This window comes from Homo sapiens, chromosome 1 (genome assembly GCF_000001405.40).
Source record: "Homo sapiens chromosome 1, GRCh38.p14 Primary Assembly".
Classification (NCBI taxonomy): Eukaryota; Metazoa; Chordata; class Mammalia; order Primates; family Hominidae; genus Homo; species Homo sapiens.
In genome coordinates, this window is record NC_000001.11 from 203475348 (window position 1) to 203491362 (window position 16015).

A 16015-nucleotide genomic window follows, 5' to 3' on the forward strand; every position below is an offset into this window, starting at 1 on the left:
CCAAACCCCTCACTGGTTTAGGAATTTAACACTACCGAGCAACGGCCCCAGAAGGCAAGGCGATTGTTAGGAGGAATTAAACAGGCTAGTGCTGGACCCAGCCATCCAGTCCTGGCTTACACAGAGGTTGCTTTTCATGCCTTTTCACTCTGTTAATTTGGCTTGTTTTCCAAACATGGGTCAAACAACCCCTCTCCAGAAGCGGCAGCAGCAGAAGGAAATGTTATTAAAAATGAGTCTGTTAGTGGGAATGGTGTGTGGATGAAGTCTTTGGGAGTTTTGGCTGCCAAATAAAGACTTTATTGTCATTCCTCCTTTCCCAAGCTCCCTCCCTCTCTCCTCCCCTCCCCTCCCTCCCTCCTCCCTCCTCTCCTCCCCTCCCTCCCTATGATCTGCCCCTCCCTCCCCCCAAGCTAACCTCCCCACCCCAATAGGATCTGGTGGAAGAAAAGTCAGGCAAACACAAGCACGCACACACCACTGGGAGATCAGATCTTCTAGCTGGCTCTCTGCTGCCACAGCTCCGCCGAAGGGAGGGGGTGGAAGAGGAGGACTAAACTCAGAGCTGAGAGGAGAGGCAGGTGTGTGCAGGTAAGCCCAGTTGGGAGATGGGCAGGAGACTGGGAAGAATCTTTCATCCAGTAAGTTTCCTCCAGCTCTGTCCATTTATTGATCTAGTCTCTATCCTCTCACTCCTTCCTTCCTCCCACCTCTTTCTCCTCTCAAATGAGTTCAAATTTAGTCTTCCTAACTTCTTTCCTATAGCCTCTTCCTTTTCTTTTCATCACTCTGTACCCCTATATTTGCTTACTGCAAAAGTTAAGCTTTCCTGCTGCAGATGTTTGTTGTAGCACAGAGAGCCACGCTGCACAAAGTGTTTCTACAGATCAGGTGTTTCCATAGAAACTGGACTCCAGAACCCATTTCTTTGCACCTTTTGTGTATTGTCACACATTGTGGAAGTCACACACATCACACGGAGGCTGCACGTTCACTACCATCACCCCACACGACCATACAAAATGAAGACATCCTGTCCATTCACCTCTGCCCTCTGCATCTGACATGCAGAGCTAGACCACATCATCACCAGACACCAGCAGACACACACACACATGCATGCACACATGTTCCCTGCATCTTGTCTCTCGCCCTCTCACACACACCTCCCTAGCTGTAAGAGCAAAGATAAAGTACGTTTTCCCACTGAGATGGCAGAGCCAGAAGAAAATCTTGCATCCCAAGTCCAGGCCGAATAGGGAGGAGATAAGCAAGAGCGGGAGCTGGAAGGGTTTCTTCATTATTTAGGGCTTCACTGGGTAGGAGGGAGAGAAAAACGGCTTTTTCCAACCTGCACAGTGTCTTCTCAGCAGCTTTCAATTTCTGTCTCACTGGTCCAAACCACTTGGCTTTTGGAAAGAAAGAAGAAAGCGACCCAGTTCCCAATCCTTGAAGGTCCTAATTCCCAGCTCTGGGGACAGTTCATTTTTTTATTTTTTTTTCCTGCAGGCAGCCAGAAAAATATTTTTCTTTAAAGCCGTTCTGAAATTATTCCAACCATTTAGGTTGGCAAAAGGTCCTGTGGCAGAGGAGAAAAAAAAAAAAAGGCAGCAGTTCCTTAAGCAGTTGGGGAGGGGAAAACTGAAGGGCGGCCCCTCTCCTGCTCCCCTGCTCATTCCTCTCTATTAATAGAGAGGGTCTGTCCCAAGGCAGGCGGGGTGTAGGGAGATCAGGGGTCCCACACACAGCTGATCTTCACAGTCACCTAAGGGCTGGAGAGGGAGGAGTGTGGAGGGCTTACTAAAAATACAGATGTCGGCTCTCACTGCAGATCTACTGAATCGAGACCCAGGAATCTTGTTTTAATACTTCAGGAGATTCTGATGGTCCACCAGGGCTCGAGAATCAGGGGCCTGAGAGAGAGCTTTGCTGTAATTTTTAAGCCCAAGACTCCGGCAGTGTTAGCTGGGCAGAAGGACTGTGTCCTGGAAAAGGAGCACCAGAGTGTCCCAAATAGGCCACCTCTTTTTTGGGGAGTGGGAGTAAACAGGGAAGAGCTGTCTCCCTCTCTCCTCCTTGCAAGCACAAGCAGCCATATATACCACAGAGGAACATTCCAGTAAGAAAGTTCCCCCAAGATGGCTCCACAGAGCTTCTGTTTCCCCTCACCTGTTAATCTGCCTGCCCCAGGACCCCAGGAGCATGTGCTGGGCCCTTCCCCTGACCCTTATAGGTCCCTGCTCCTCCTTCCCAGCAGCCACCTGTCTGGGCTCTCACAGAGGGTGAGCTGAACACTTTCTTCATGCCCCCTCCACCTCCCTAGTGGGCAATCCCATTTATTGGGCATGTGAGTGAAGCATTTCAAGGCTGGAAGGGGCAAAAAGCTGGGAGAAGTCAAGAATCGCAGTGGAACTCCATGGCCCACTGAGGAAGGCAGACTTGCACCTTCTGTGGCCAGTGTCCCCTCACCTGTTGCAGAAAGCATCGGTGAGAAGTTGGTGAATTAGAAAGACAGAACAAGCTTTCCCTAGGTGGCTGGGGACTTCCAGAGTCTCCTCAGTTAGTTGTTTCTGAGACCCAAGTGTGATCTCACAAGCCACAAAGGGGAGGAAGTTGCTCTGTGTGGAAGAGCTGGTACCCCACTCACAAGGATCCCTGCCTTCGAGCAGTGCATGGGGGCTGCCCTCTAGCCAGGCTGGAGGGAAGGAGACCCCATTACTTTGAAATAATATCAACAAGACCTTAACATTCAGAAAACACTCACTTTGCATGTATTAACTCATTTAACCCTCAAAACAGAAAAGAAGGTGTTAGTATCCCCATTTTATAGAGCAGAAAAGCAATTGCTTTGCCTAAGCCTACCTAGCTAAGCATCTGAATGAAGAACTGCAGGATTGGGTCTCAGATCTATAATCACTCAAGGCATCAGACACACTCTTCTAGGCTTTCTTCAAGGCTTGGAGATGCTGGGGGAATGGGGCAGAGGATATGGTAGGTGGCGGGCTGTCAGAGAAGAGTCGTCTCACCCTGGTTTCTTCCCCACCGCTCAGAATGGAAAACTTTCTCTTCTAAACTAGTGGCCTGAGGCCAGAAAATCTTCATTCTGTTTACACTTTGCCTTGTGGTAGACACTGGGGAGACAGATGGTCTCTCCATAATAGTGTTATTTTTATTTTTAGCACTTTTTGATCTGTAGTGCATTTTAAAGCTGCTAACTGCACTTGCTTCTGACAATTGGGTAAGGAATATAGGTATAGGGAAGATTTTTTTATTCCCATTTTACAGATAAGAAAACTGAGGCCCAGAACAGGGTTCGCATCACTAGGTAGTGGTGGAGGGGTGAGAATCTTCTCTCCTAACTAGTATGCACCACAGGCTCTCCTCCCACTGCCCCAGGCAAGCTCATCCTTGTATCGTTTCACCTTCCTAGAAAGGGGCATCTTGAAGTCATCATGCCCCCATAAGGCTCCTTTGTTATCTCAGGACCACATCAGCCCTAATGGGGGCCTTGAAAGGGCCTCAGGCTCACTCCTCTACTAACTCTGCTCATAAATTGGCAAAGACTGCTTGATTCTCCCTGCTTCCAACACCCTTCTGGACTACAGGAAGAGATACAGAGAGCAGGATGGCTTTCAGACACCTAGGTTGAGAACAGAAAGAAGGGAAAAAAGAGAGAGGGGTGTTCCGACATTCACCGGCACAGCGCTAGGTCAGAAGCAGCCCCATTCTCCACTGCAGGGTAGCTCTGGGTCAAGGCATGGAGGCTTAGGGGTGACCAATTAGACAGGAGATCTGACAAGTAAGAAGAATGCCAGTTCAGAGTGCGGCGTAACCCTGCTGCTAGCCCTGCCTAGCCCTGGGAGACAAACCCAACCTCATTCCCAGCCCAACCTCAACCTCTCCATACAAAGCCAATTAGCCTTAAATAGCTGCTCCTAATGACTTGACCAACCCATCAGGACTTCCACCCAACCCTGCCCTGAGCAGAAACATTCCACCACTCCTGGGTTTTAACATTAAATTAATGAGAGAGATAGGGAAGGGGGCTATCTCACTTTAAAAATCAAGGAGTCCTTGGGGCGCTGTGGCTCATGCCTGTAATCCCAGCACTTTGGGAGACTGAGGAGGACAGATCACTTGAGCTCAGGGGTTGGAGACCAGCCTGGGCAACATGGTAAAACCCCATCTCTACAAAAAAGACAAAAATTAGCCAGCTGTGGTAGCACATGCCTATAGTACTAGCTGCTCAGGACGCTGAGATGGAAGGATCACCTGAGCCCAGGGAGGTTAAGGCTGCAGTGAGCTGTGATTGCACTACTGCACTCTAGCCTGGTCAACAAAGGGAGACCCTGTATCACCAAAAAAAAAAAAAAAAAAAAAAAAAAAAAATCAAGGAGTCTCTCTAGAGAATCTGCTGTTTATAAACAAATAAATGAGTAAGTAAGCCTCTGCCACTTGCAGAGATTTTGCACTTTATAACATGCCTTCAAATGCATGATCTCATTTGATCCTCACACAGATGAGGAGCCCGGGTTGGAGAGTCAGAGCCAGGAGTCAAGCCCAGATCCACAATAGTTGGAATTGAAATTAGAATTTAAAACTCTCTTAGAGGCTGGGTGCAGTGGCTCACACCTGTAATCTCAGCAATTTGAAAGGCCGAGGTGGGAGGATTGCTTGAGCTTAGGAGTTCAAGACCAGCCTGAGCAATACAGTGAGACCCCCATCTCATTTTTGTTTAAAGTGAAAAAAGAAAAAAAAATTAAGATTCTCTTAGGAAACGTTCTTTAATGTGGAGAGTGAATGTTGGGTTGGGCAAAGCAATTGCCTTTCTCTTCCGTGAAGCAGCAGCTTTTCCAGAACTGATGGTGGAGAGCAGAACTGCATGCAGTTGGCTGTTGTAGGTGGTCAACAAACCTTCACTGATTGAGCAATGAGCAGAGCCCAGTAGAAAGCTGTGGGTGGAGAAGTGCACTTGTGAAAGCATAAGAAAAATTTAAAAACACACACATGGACCCATCCTAAGGAATCTTATGATTGGACAGAAGTTTCTAGAAGGCAGGAGCATAGAGTGTGGGTCTGAGGCTTTGTAGGAGGGACTATGACTACCCATGGAGTCCAGGTACCCTCAGTCTGTCACACAGATTCTGGTTTCAGAGACCTAGGACATCACGGAGCACTGCCAGAGAGAATGGCTGTGCTGTCAGCTGTCAGAACTTTTCATCCTGCCTCATGGCAAAGCTCCGGCAGGAAGGGGCATCACCCCATGAGAAAAGCCTTAGAAATGAATGCTATTTCCTTAAGAGAGAAGCATCCCTGCACTTGGAATGGTTCTGATTCAGCCCTGGGGCTGAGGGAAGGGGAGGAGAGCAGGCTCAGCTTCCCCACATAACTTGCTCCTGGGAGCATTTCCTGGGGAACCTCCTGTTGGCTCTGGGAGCAGCTTGGCTAGGCCCAGAGGTTTGGAATGTAAACGGGTCAGAGGACTAGTGAAAAGATAAGTTCCCAAAGGGTCTGGTGCTGCACATGGGGATGAGGAAGGCCTGTGTTTACTGTGGATGAGAAGGCGCGCACAGCCAGCCTGCTGGGTGGAGCTGTGAGTAACCTGCCTGTTCCTCTCACCCCTGACAATGAAGACCAGGGCTGCCCTGGCACTGAGCCAAGGAAACCCCGCCCCGCCCAGCACAGGTCACAGCCACAGTGCCTCACTGCTTTTGCTGGAAGCCCTGGGCAAATTGGTGCCCAGTCCCTGGCATATGCTTTCGGTGACAAAGGCAATGAAGGGATATAGAAAAACTCCCGCCAGTGCTGGGAGCCTCCTTGGGACAGGGCTTCTCACAGTATGAAAGATTTCTAGATCATTTCTAGGCTTCTGGGTGATTAGAAAATAAATTTTTTTTTTTAAATCAGGGTCACAAAAATTGAGGCTTTTAGAAATGTTTGTTTTAGAATACCAATGCTTTAACTACCCCCTTAATTTATATGCAAGATGACTGTTCTGTTTTCCAGAAAATTACAGAACTTACACAATGTTAATTCATAGTTCACCAATTACAAGTGAAGTGGGGTTCAGCCAACAAGACTCAAGCTTAAAGTTTTGCAATTAATGCCTTCTCTTTTTAACCCTTGCAATGTATCTCTGACAATGTTATATCCTTAACGGGAGATCAAGCCAAAAACCTAACTGCAAGGTCCTTTGTGATAGGAGGCCAGGGAAAATGGCCTTCCAGACCTCCTTGGAGAGGCCTGCCTTGGAAGAGACCACCTTAGAGGGAGGTGGAGAAAGACAGTCTCTGCCTTCCTTCCCTTCCGCCTTCCTTCTTTCCTTCCAATACTCAGTGTACTGCGTATGGGCTCATATACGCACACAGAGGATAAGTGAGTGAGTTTGCTTATGTGCATGGGACCTGAAGAGGTGTGTGTGTGAGTGTGCAGACTGGATCTGCTGTTAAACAGCATCTTGGCCTTGGCGAGCCACTTCTTCCTTCCAGTCCTCAGTTTTTGCAAATGGTGGGGTCTGGAGTTGATTGGTGGATTTCAAGCCATTTTTAGCAAAGAAACGTGTCCCCTGCCCCTCAACAAATGAATGCTTCGGCTAAACCTCAATATATATAATAGGTTTTTTTAAAGAGAGCTGCTGAGGTTGGCACAGGGATGGGTTGAGGGTACCCCAGGGCCATCTCCTCAGTCTCCTCCCCACAGGGGTATGTCACAGAAATGAAAGCAGAGTTGGAAAACCACTAGGTTATAGGATCTTTAAGGACCTTTCTGGATTTAACCAGGACGCTAAGGTTCATACATCCTAACATCCCTCTCATGAAGACACTGATGATTTTCTCATGCTGTGAATGGGAGGACTGAGGGCCAGAGTGGTTAAGGGTCTTCTCTGACAAGCCCCAGGACTCCTGACTCGGAGTCCAGTGTGCTTTCTTTCTTTCTTTTTTTTTTTTTGAGAAAGAGTTTTGCTCTTGTTGCCCAGGCTGGAGTGCATTGGTGCAATCTCGGCTCACTGCAACCTCCTCCTCCTGGGTTCAAGCGATTCTCCTGCCTCAGCCTCCCAAGTAGCTGAGATTACAGGTGTCCAACACCACACCCTGCTAATTTTTTGTATTTAGTAGAGATGGGGTTTCTCCATGTTGGTCAGGCTGATCTCGAACTCCTGACCTGAAGTGATCCACCCGCCTTGGCCTCCCAAAGTGCTGGGATTACAGGCTTGTATGCCACTGTCCCACCAGCCCCAATGTGCCTTTTTTTTTTTTTTTTTTTTTTTTGAGATGGAGTCTCACTCTGTCACCCAGGCTGGAGTGCAGTGGTGCAATCTCGGCTCACTGCAAACTCCGCCTCCCGGGTTCACGCCATTCTCCTGCCTCAGCCTCCCAAGTAGCTGGGATTACAGGCACCCGCCACCACGCCTGGCTAATTTTTTGTATTTTTAGTAGAGACAGGGTTTCACCGTGTTAGCCAGGATGGTCTCGATCTCCTGACCTCATGATCTGCCCACCTTGGCCTCCCAAAGTGCTGGATTACAGGTGTGAGCCACCGCACCTGGCCACCAATGTGCTTTCTACCAGCATGTCCCCCGCCCTCTTCAGAGCAGGCTCAACACATCGAGTGGCTAAGCCAATGGCCAGGGAATCCAGAGCCTCAAGCCCTTGTTATTCCCTTACCTGCTGGGTACAGGCAAACAAGGAGATGCTTCCACAGCTCCCTGAGCTCTGCCCATCTTCCCTAGAGCTCTAGTTCTGCCCAACTCTGGCTTCAAAAACATGACAACTAGTTACTGAGGGCCCAAGGATAATGACCTTATGTGTCTTCTCCCTGCAGGTGCATCACCTGGATCATGAGGTCACCCCTCTGCTGGCTCCTCCCACTTCTCATCTTGGCCTCAGTGGCCCAAGGCCAGCCAACAAGACGACCAAGACCCGGGACTGGGCCCGGGCGCAGACCCAGGCCCAGGCCCAGGCCCACACCCAGCTTTCCTCAGCCTGATGAACCAGCAGAGCCAACAGACCTGCCTCCTCCCCTCCCTCCAGGCCCTCCATCTATCTTCCCTGACTGTCCCCGCGAATGCTACTGCCCCCCTGATTTCCCATCTGCCCTCTACTGTGATAGCCGCAACCTGCGAAAGGTCCCTGTCATCCCGCCCCGCATCCATTACCTCTATCTCCAGAACAACTTCATCACTGAGCTCCCGGTGGAGTCCTTCCAGAATGCCACAGGCCTGCGATGGATTAACCTGGACAACAACCGAATCCGCAAGATAGACCAGAGGGTGCTGGAGAAACTGCCCGGCCTGGTGTTCCTCTACATGGAGAAGAACCAGTTGGAAGAGGTCCCCTCGGCCCTGCCCCGGAACCTGGAGCAGCTGAGGCTGAGCCAGAACCACATCTCCAGAATCCCGCCTGGTGTCTTCAGCAAGCTGGAGAACCTGCTGCTCCTGGATCTCCAGCACAACAGGCTGAGCGACGGCGTCTTCAAGCCCGACACCTTCCATGGCCTCAAGAACCTCATGCAGCTCAACCTGGCCCACAACATCCTGAGAAAGATGCCGCCCAGGGTCCCCACCGCCATTCACCAGCTCTACCTGGACAGTAACAAGATTGAGACCATCCCTAACGGATACTTCAAGAGCTTTCCCAATCTTGCCTTCATTCGGCTTAACTACAACAAGCTGACAGACAGGGGACTCCCCAAGAACTCCTTTAATATCTCCAACCTGCTTGTGCTCCACCTGTCCCACAACAGGATCAGCAGTGTGCCCGCCATCAACAACAGGCTGGAACACCTGTACCTCAACAACAATAGCATCGAGAGTGAGTGGGGTGGGCCGGGGCGGGGCCGAAGGCAAGGAGGTTGGCTTGTGTAGCACTTCCACCCTCTCTAGGGAGACTCAGGGTGGGGTGGTATAAAAAGCATCCACTTTGGCACTGGACTTCAATTCATGGCCTTGCCACTTGCTATCTGGGTGACCTTGAAAAGATATTTGACCAGTCTGGGAAGTTTCCTCATCTGTAAAGTGAGAATGGTAACAATATCTTCTATCACAAAGGTGATATGAGGATGTAATAGTTTAATATGGAGAAAGTGCCCAGAATACCATACTTGGAGGGTCATAGGTTTTCTTCCTCCATTCTTCCTCAGCCCCAGTTCCTTGGCAACTGGATCTATAGGTAGGGTAGACATGGAATATACTCCTGGACATTCTGCTAAAAACAGAACAGAGACATTTAAATACCTATCCTGAAATGTCCTGGGTCTGCCCTCTGCAGAAACCTGCCCCTGTGGGAAGATGCTTCTTCCCAAGCCTGAGCCTGGGTTTTGATTCAGGGTATGCAACTGGTAAAAATGTGGCAGTCAGGAAAAGAAGGTCTGCATGCTGGTGCTTTCTGAATCTATCTGGAAGGGTGCGATGTTTAGGTGCACTTAAGGAAGAGTTTGCCTAAGTGACATTTACAGGGTTCTGGACTTGGAGTATCAATTGCAGCCCAGGAGAGGAGGCTGGAAGTTGCAGTTTTGCTTCAATCAAAAATTTCAGCTCGGAGCAGAGCATTAGCAGAAAGGTTTAGAAGTGAAATAATATTTTCTGGTCCTTGAACAAAATCAGCCTACATTCACAGAAGGGATGCAGCAGCAGAAGGGAAGAGAGGGATTGAGGGAAAAGAGAAGGACCCCTAGAATGATATTTGGGGATCCTTAGGTTCCAAACCAAAGAATGAGATGGAGATTGTTGGTGTCTCTACCGACACCAACAATGGGCGAATAGATCGTTCACTCATTTGGGATAATTTCAAGAAGTAGGGGAGGATTTTTTTTTTAATCTTACAAAAAAAAAATGGGAAAAGGGGAAGACTGTATAATTTTACCCTGGAGACAGCACACTAAAATAAAACACATTACCCCCAGGAAGCTATGAGGCCAAAATACAGACAGAAGGGATACCTTGATTAATAAATGGCTGATAGGTCTCTACCAGATTGTGGAAGAACAGGTTGCTGGAGGATATCCCAACCTTCTAAGGTTGAAGTCAGAGAACTCACACCTCACCCACATGAGCCCACCCCATCCAGCCTGTCTCCTGTGCCTTTTACCCGACAGAATGGGCTGAGTGGGGCCTAGGTCAGTGGGGTGATTACGTTCTTCACAATGACCATAATGCTGCCACTGGTACTGTCTTTAAACAGCTTACAAAATGCCTTTGCCAACATTCTCTCCCCTGATTACAGGGCAGGCACCACTCTTACCATTTCACAGATTGAAGAACTCAGCATGAGGGTGGCTAGGCCACAGCCCCAAGCTCATAAGAGAAAACCCCCGTGTCAGGGCCCTTCTGCTACTCCAATGGCAAAGAAGAAAGACGAGGAAAAGGAAGAGGAAGACAATTACAATGAAGATGATGCCTACTCTTCCTCCTCCTGCTCCTCCATAAATGATAAGTGAGGCAAGGCTTAGGGAGAATAAAACAGTTCATTTAAATGCTGGCATGCCTGGTGCCACAGGCATCCAACAAGATGTGATGGAGGAAATGGAATCTCAGGCCATGGACCCTTCAGAATCAGTAGGCTCATCATGTCCCGGGGGTTCCGGAGCTCTCCCCAGATCCTCTTTCCTCTTCCTGTCATCCTTATTTCAGTTACCATCTTTTGCCCATCCTCATGTCTCACATCCAATTCAAAGGAAAACCTGCAGAGTAATTTTCACATCCACCTACTGGCTTCAGATCTCACCTTACTCCATTGCTTCTCCACAGTGTAGCCGGATTATCTTTGTACAGCATAAACCTGAACATAGGGATCTCTAAGGACCCTTCCAGATTTAACGCTCCAGGATACCATGGTTCAAGTATCCTGTTAATAACATCGCTCTCACAAAGACAGTCCTGTTCACTGCCATTCCTCAGACCAGAGATCAAAAGCCTCTTAGTGAAAGCCTAACTACCTTCCCAGCTTACTCTCCTTAGTACATCACATTGGGCACTATTACTATTCCCAGATTCGCCCACAAGCAGAATTTTGGCCTCCACAACTTCATTCAAACAGATTCCTCTATCAGAACACCATCCCCCAGGTCTCCACCTGTTGTAATTCTACCTATTCTTGAAGGCCCAGTTCAAAATTTACTTCCAATTCTCTAGAGTTAACTTGCAATAACAGTTGTTGATCAATTCCAACTTAATTCATTTTACAAATGAGTAAACTGAGCCTGGAGGTCAAGGCAGCTCATCTATGATCACACATTCCCAAAGCTAGCCAGTTTCAGAGAGAAGTCTACAGTCCTTGCTCTCGGGTGTCTTCCCCCTTCCCCTTCCTCATCTTGGCCGCCAGCCTCCACTCCCTTCTGATTTCTCGTCTTCTTTTTCCGTAGAAATCAACGGAACCCAGATTTGCCCCAACGACCTAGTGGCGTTCCATGACTTCTCCTCGGACCTGGAGAACGTGCCACACCTGCGCTACCTGCGGCTGGATGGAAACTACTTGAAGCCGCCCATCCCGCTGGACCTCATGATGTGCTTCCGCCTCCTGCAGTCCGTGGTCATCTAGGCCCTACTCCGCCACCGGATCTGCTCTGACCGCACTTGAAGGCTGGGGCCCAGGCACCTGTGCCGGCCATTCGTTTTCTCTCTCTCCCTTTCTTTCTCCCAGCTTTGCCTCCCTTATCCCACCCTCGAGGCAGGGAAAAGCCATCTATTCTTCTGCAGCCTCAGGAGCGAGACTTCAAGGACTCAGTTTGGTTCCACCCAGTTGAAAGACACCCAGTGCACACCCAAACTCCTGGCCTTCTGTGGTTTCCCTTTGCTCCAGAAACACAGATGTGTCTAAAGACTTGGTGTCCCCTTCTCTCTCCTCCCCCACCCGCCACTCCTGGGTACATCTGGGCCGTGGACTATCTGATCTTGGTCCTGGCCGAGCAAACAGCCCGGAGGTAAGGTTCAGAAAGTCCCCCTGGGGACTCCTCCATCTTCGGCAGCTCTGGCTCAAAGAGGCCGAGAAACCCAGTTCTCCTGGGCCAAGGATCCCTTCTGGCAAAGCTGCTGCTCCGCCGCTTGGTTCCCCGGCACCAGACATCGCCCTGGCCCTGCTGGCCCGGGTATCGGGAAGGAGGAGCGAGGGAATGACGGAGGTAGGGTGCAGGGTCAGGGCTCCCGCAGGGGCCTGCATCTGGCCAGCAGGACACAGGGATGCGCAGGGCGCCCCCTTCTGTTCCAGGGTGAACATAGCACACGCCCTCCTGGCTGGGCCTCAGGAGGAACAGCCAAGGAGAAGAATGGCCCAAGGAACTAGGAAGCAGCCATGGGAGAGGGGAAGGGTTCAAGCCCGGGATGGGCCCGCGTGACGTCGATGGGTCCTGCGGCCCCCTTGCCCAACCTCGGGTTTAGGGAGGAGGGTTCACAGTGTTTTTGTGGGGGCGGGGGAAGGAAGAGGCAGCCCCGCCCCCGCCATCTGTTCTCCATCAGTGTGCGCGGCCCAGCCATTTCCACCCTCGGGAGGCGGCTCCTGAGAAACAGGGAGGAAGGGGCGGAGCACCTGGACGTCTCCCAGAAGCCCCTCCACGTTTGAAAATGCGCCTCCTCCTCGGAGACAGACGCATCGGTGCCACCTAGTGGCTGGTGGGAGTAACAGCTGGTCCCAGTCTTGCGCCTGGCCCTCTTCCTGGGGTGATTTTCCTCGGTGGAGGAGGCCCGTGGGGTCCCAACACGGAAGAGCCATGGGCCGTGTGCATGGTGTCGCTCTCCTCTAGGGTCTAGCGGGCACAAACGTCCCCAGGCTGGGCTCATTCCCATCGTGAGTGAGCCCAGGTGAGGACATAGTCGGCTCCCGTTTGTTGTAGGCCCTTCCCAGGTGCCTTCTCAGCTCCCTCATCTGTAAACCGAGGAGGTGGATAAGATGCTCCCGGCCGGGCGCGGTGGCTCACGCCTGTAATCCCAGCACTTTGGGAGGCCGAGGCGGGCAGATTATTGCCTGAGCTCAGGAGTTCGAAACCACCCTGGGCAACATGGTGAAACCCCCGTCTCTACTAAAATACAAAAAAATTAGCCAGGCATAGTGGCGCGCGCCTATAATCCCAGCTACTGGGAGGCTGAGGCGGGAGAATCGCTTGAGCCGGGGAGGCGGAGGTTGCAGTGAGGCGAGATTGTGCCACTGCACTCCAGCTTGGGCGACAGAGTGAGACTCCGTCTCAAAAAAGAAAAAAAAAAGATGCTCCTCTGAGGTCCCTCCGGCGCTCATGTTCCGAGTCTGCAGCTCCACACTTTAAATCATACTCGAATGCAGGACAAGTCCTAAATATTTGCCCCTTCCCTTGCAGTAATTTATTTTCTGTATGGACTGTCCCTCCCCCAGAGGCTTCCCCACCCTCCATTGCCTGGCCCAGGTGAGCAGCTTGGCAGGTCTCCAAGTGGAACCCGGTCCAGACAGGGCTGCCTCGACTTCACCTTTCCCCCTAACTTCCTCCAAGGGATGCTGCCCCTTCTCAGCCCCCTGCGTGTGTATATTGGTGGGAGGCATAGAGGATGGATGTTCTAGAAATGAGTAAGACACAGTGCCCACCCCCAAGTTAGGATGAAAAAAGTTCCAGAGGTTTTTAAGAAATTGGATTAAGCTGGGTCCCTAACTTCAAGAAATTCCCATTATGCTCCTTCTCACCTTTCTTTTTTGCTAATTATGGAAAATAGGGCCCATTTCATCATAGCCTCCTTCCCCCGTGCTCCACTACAATCGCCGCATTCTTTCTAGCTGCAGCTGGTTTCTTCAAGGCTCCTGCTTAAAGTCCACACGTTATTATGGCCGAAAGCAACCTGGTGCTTCGGCCTGGATAAGAGCCCCTTCTGCATCTTATTCACAGCTTGCAGCCTCAGCCCCTTTGATGAGGCCCTCAGGGGAGAGGTCATTACCTTGATCCTGCAAACCCAGACTCGTTGAGCAGCAACGCAATCACCATCATCCCACTGCCCAATCTAGAATATGTCTGCTCTCCTTTGCTCTCTGCAGCTGTAAGCCAGAGGGGATTCAAGGTAAATAGGCTTTACAGGCTCCCCTCCTCCAAACACACACAGAATGGGCTGGTTTCTTTCAAGTTTAAAAAAAGCCCCCTTCTCCATGCACAAGTTCATTCCCTCCATGCTGTCGTCATCGACATATACAGGTGTGTACGTAGGTGTATGTGTGTACTCTGCACGTATATCTCTTCTGTCTTGAAGACCCTGTTAACTTTGTGAAATAACTTCCACATTTCAACACACTTCACAGTACAGGAAATAAAGTAATATGAAAAACACCCTGCGTGAACTCAACGGTGTGAACAGGTCAAGAATAACACTTCAAAGTCATCTTGCCAGCCAGGCGTGGTGGATCACGCCTGTAATCCCAGCACTCTGGGAGGCCAAAGCGGGCAGATCACCTGAGGTCAGGAGTTCAAGACCAGCCTGGCCAACATAGTGAAACCCCTTGTTTACTCAAAATACAAAAATTGGCTGGGTGCGGTGGTACATGCCTGTAGTCCCAGCTACTTGGGAGGCTGAGGCAGGAGAATTGCTTGAACCCTGGAGGCAGAAGTTGCAGTGAGCCGAGATCGCACCACTGCACTCCAGCCTAGGAGACAAAACGAGACTTCATTTAAAAAAAATAAAAATAAAAATAAAAATAAAGTCATCTTGCCACCCACCCCCTACCATTGAGCCACCATGCCCAGCCCCAAAGCCTCTTAATTGCTCTAACAAGATGAGTGGGGAAAAGATTATACTCTTAAGAAATTCCTACGAAAGCTATCCAAAAGCCTTTTCTTTCCTCTTTTCTTATTATTTTTAAATAGAGGCAGGGTCTCATTATGTTGCCCAGGCTGGTCTGGAACTCCTGGCCTCAAGTGATCCTCCCACCTTGGCCTCCCCAGAGTGCTGGGATTACACACGTGAGTCACCATGCCCAGCCCCAAAGCCATTTCTTGAAGAATTTCTCGCAAACTCACAACCCTCATGAAAAATTAATCCTCAGTTCCACGAGACTGCCCACCCACAGACAAAAAAATATATATATTCCTAAAGTCGGACCAGAAATCTGACAGCTGCCTTTGAAACCCAAAGCCTCGGGTTCTTTCAAGCTACATGTACTAAATTGTCGAAGGTCTCCCAGGAGCTCTGTACTGAGGCAGACACAGAAAGACACAAAACGGTCGTCTTTCCTGCCCAAGTAAAGCTTACAGACTAACTGGGGAGATGTAGTGTGCATACAAAACAGTAAAAGAGCCATCTCAAGGACAGAGAGCATAGACCAAGTCATCTGGAATGGTCTACATGCCATGCGGAAGTCCACCGAAGGGTTAGAACAGGGTGTCCCAGACTCTCTCTTCTGAGGGAAGGTTGGTTGCAAAAGTGGGATTCATGACCCTCCCAGGCTACACCATCTTCTTTAGAATGAGAACTGCCAGGTGACGCCCTCGCTGCTCCTACCTGGCTACTAAACATCGACTTCGGTTCACTTCACGGATGTTCAGTGGATATCGGTCACATGCCAGGTCCCCAGCTACGCATTCAAGGATGGATAATATACATAGCAGCACATCCTTGAGGAACTCATACCTTGGTAAAGGGAAAGAAATCCATGAATGGATACCTCTGTGTCCTAAGTGTTTGTAATAATGCTGTGTGTCAGGCCTCTGAGCCCAAGCTAAGCCATCATATCCCCTGTGACCTGCATGTGCACATCCAGACGGCTGGTTCCTACCTTAACTGATGATATTCCACCACAAAAGAAGTGAAAATGGCTGGTCCCTGCCTTAACTGATGACATTACCTTGTGAAATTCCTTCTCCTGGCTCATCCTGGCTCAAAAGCTCCCCCACTGAACACCTTGCAACCCCCACCCCTGGCCACCAGAGAACAACCCCCTTTGACTGTAATTTTCCATTACCTACCCACATCTTATAAAATGGCCCCATCCCTATCTCCCTTCGCTGACTCTTTTCGGACTCAGCCCGCCTGCACCCAGGTGAAATAAACAGCCTTGTTGCTCACACAAAGCCTGTTTGG

At 50.0% G+C, this 16015-nt stretch overlaps 1 protein-coding gene across 2 annotated transcripts; it reads left to right on the forward strand.

Moving 5' to 3' along the window:
* The first annotated feature begins 458 nt into the window (after positions 1–458).
* Positions 459–16005, forward strand: PRELP (proline and arginine rich end leucine rich repeat protein). 2 transcript variants are annotated; one of them, NM_002725.4, is made up of 3 exons: positions 459–591; positions 7822–8810; positions 11359–16005. In NM_002725.4, exons 2-3 carry the CDS (start codon positions 7838–7840, stop codon positions 11532–11534), a joined length of 1149 nt encoding a protein of 382 aa, NP_002716.1. In that variant the 5' UTR covers positions 459–591; positions 7822–7837; the 3' UTR covers positions 11535–16005. The 2 variants fall into 2 exon arrangements, with proteins under 2 accessions (NP_002716.1, NP_958505.1); NM_201348.2 differs by having other exon boundaries at positions 459–581.

Excerpts from the sequence above, each read along its gene's own strand:
- PRELP (NM_002725.4), top strand. The coding sequence starts at position 7,838 with ATGAGGTCACCCCTCTGCTGGCTCCTCCCACTTCTCATCTTGGCCTCA. Across the intron at positions 8,811-11,358 it reads CAACAACAATAGCATCGAGA|AAATCAACGGAACCCAGATT; the intron begins GTGAGTGGGGTG and ends CTTTTTCCGTAG.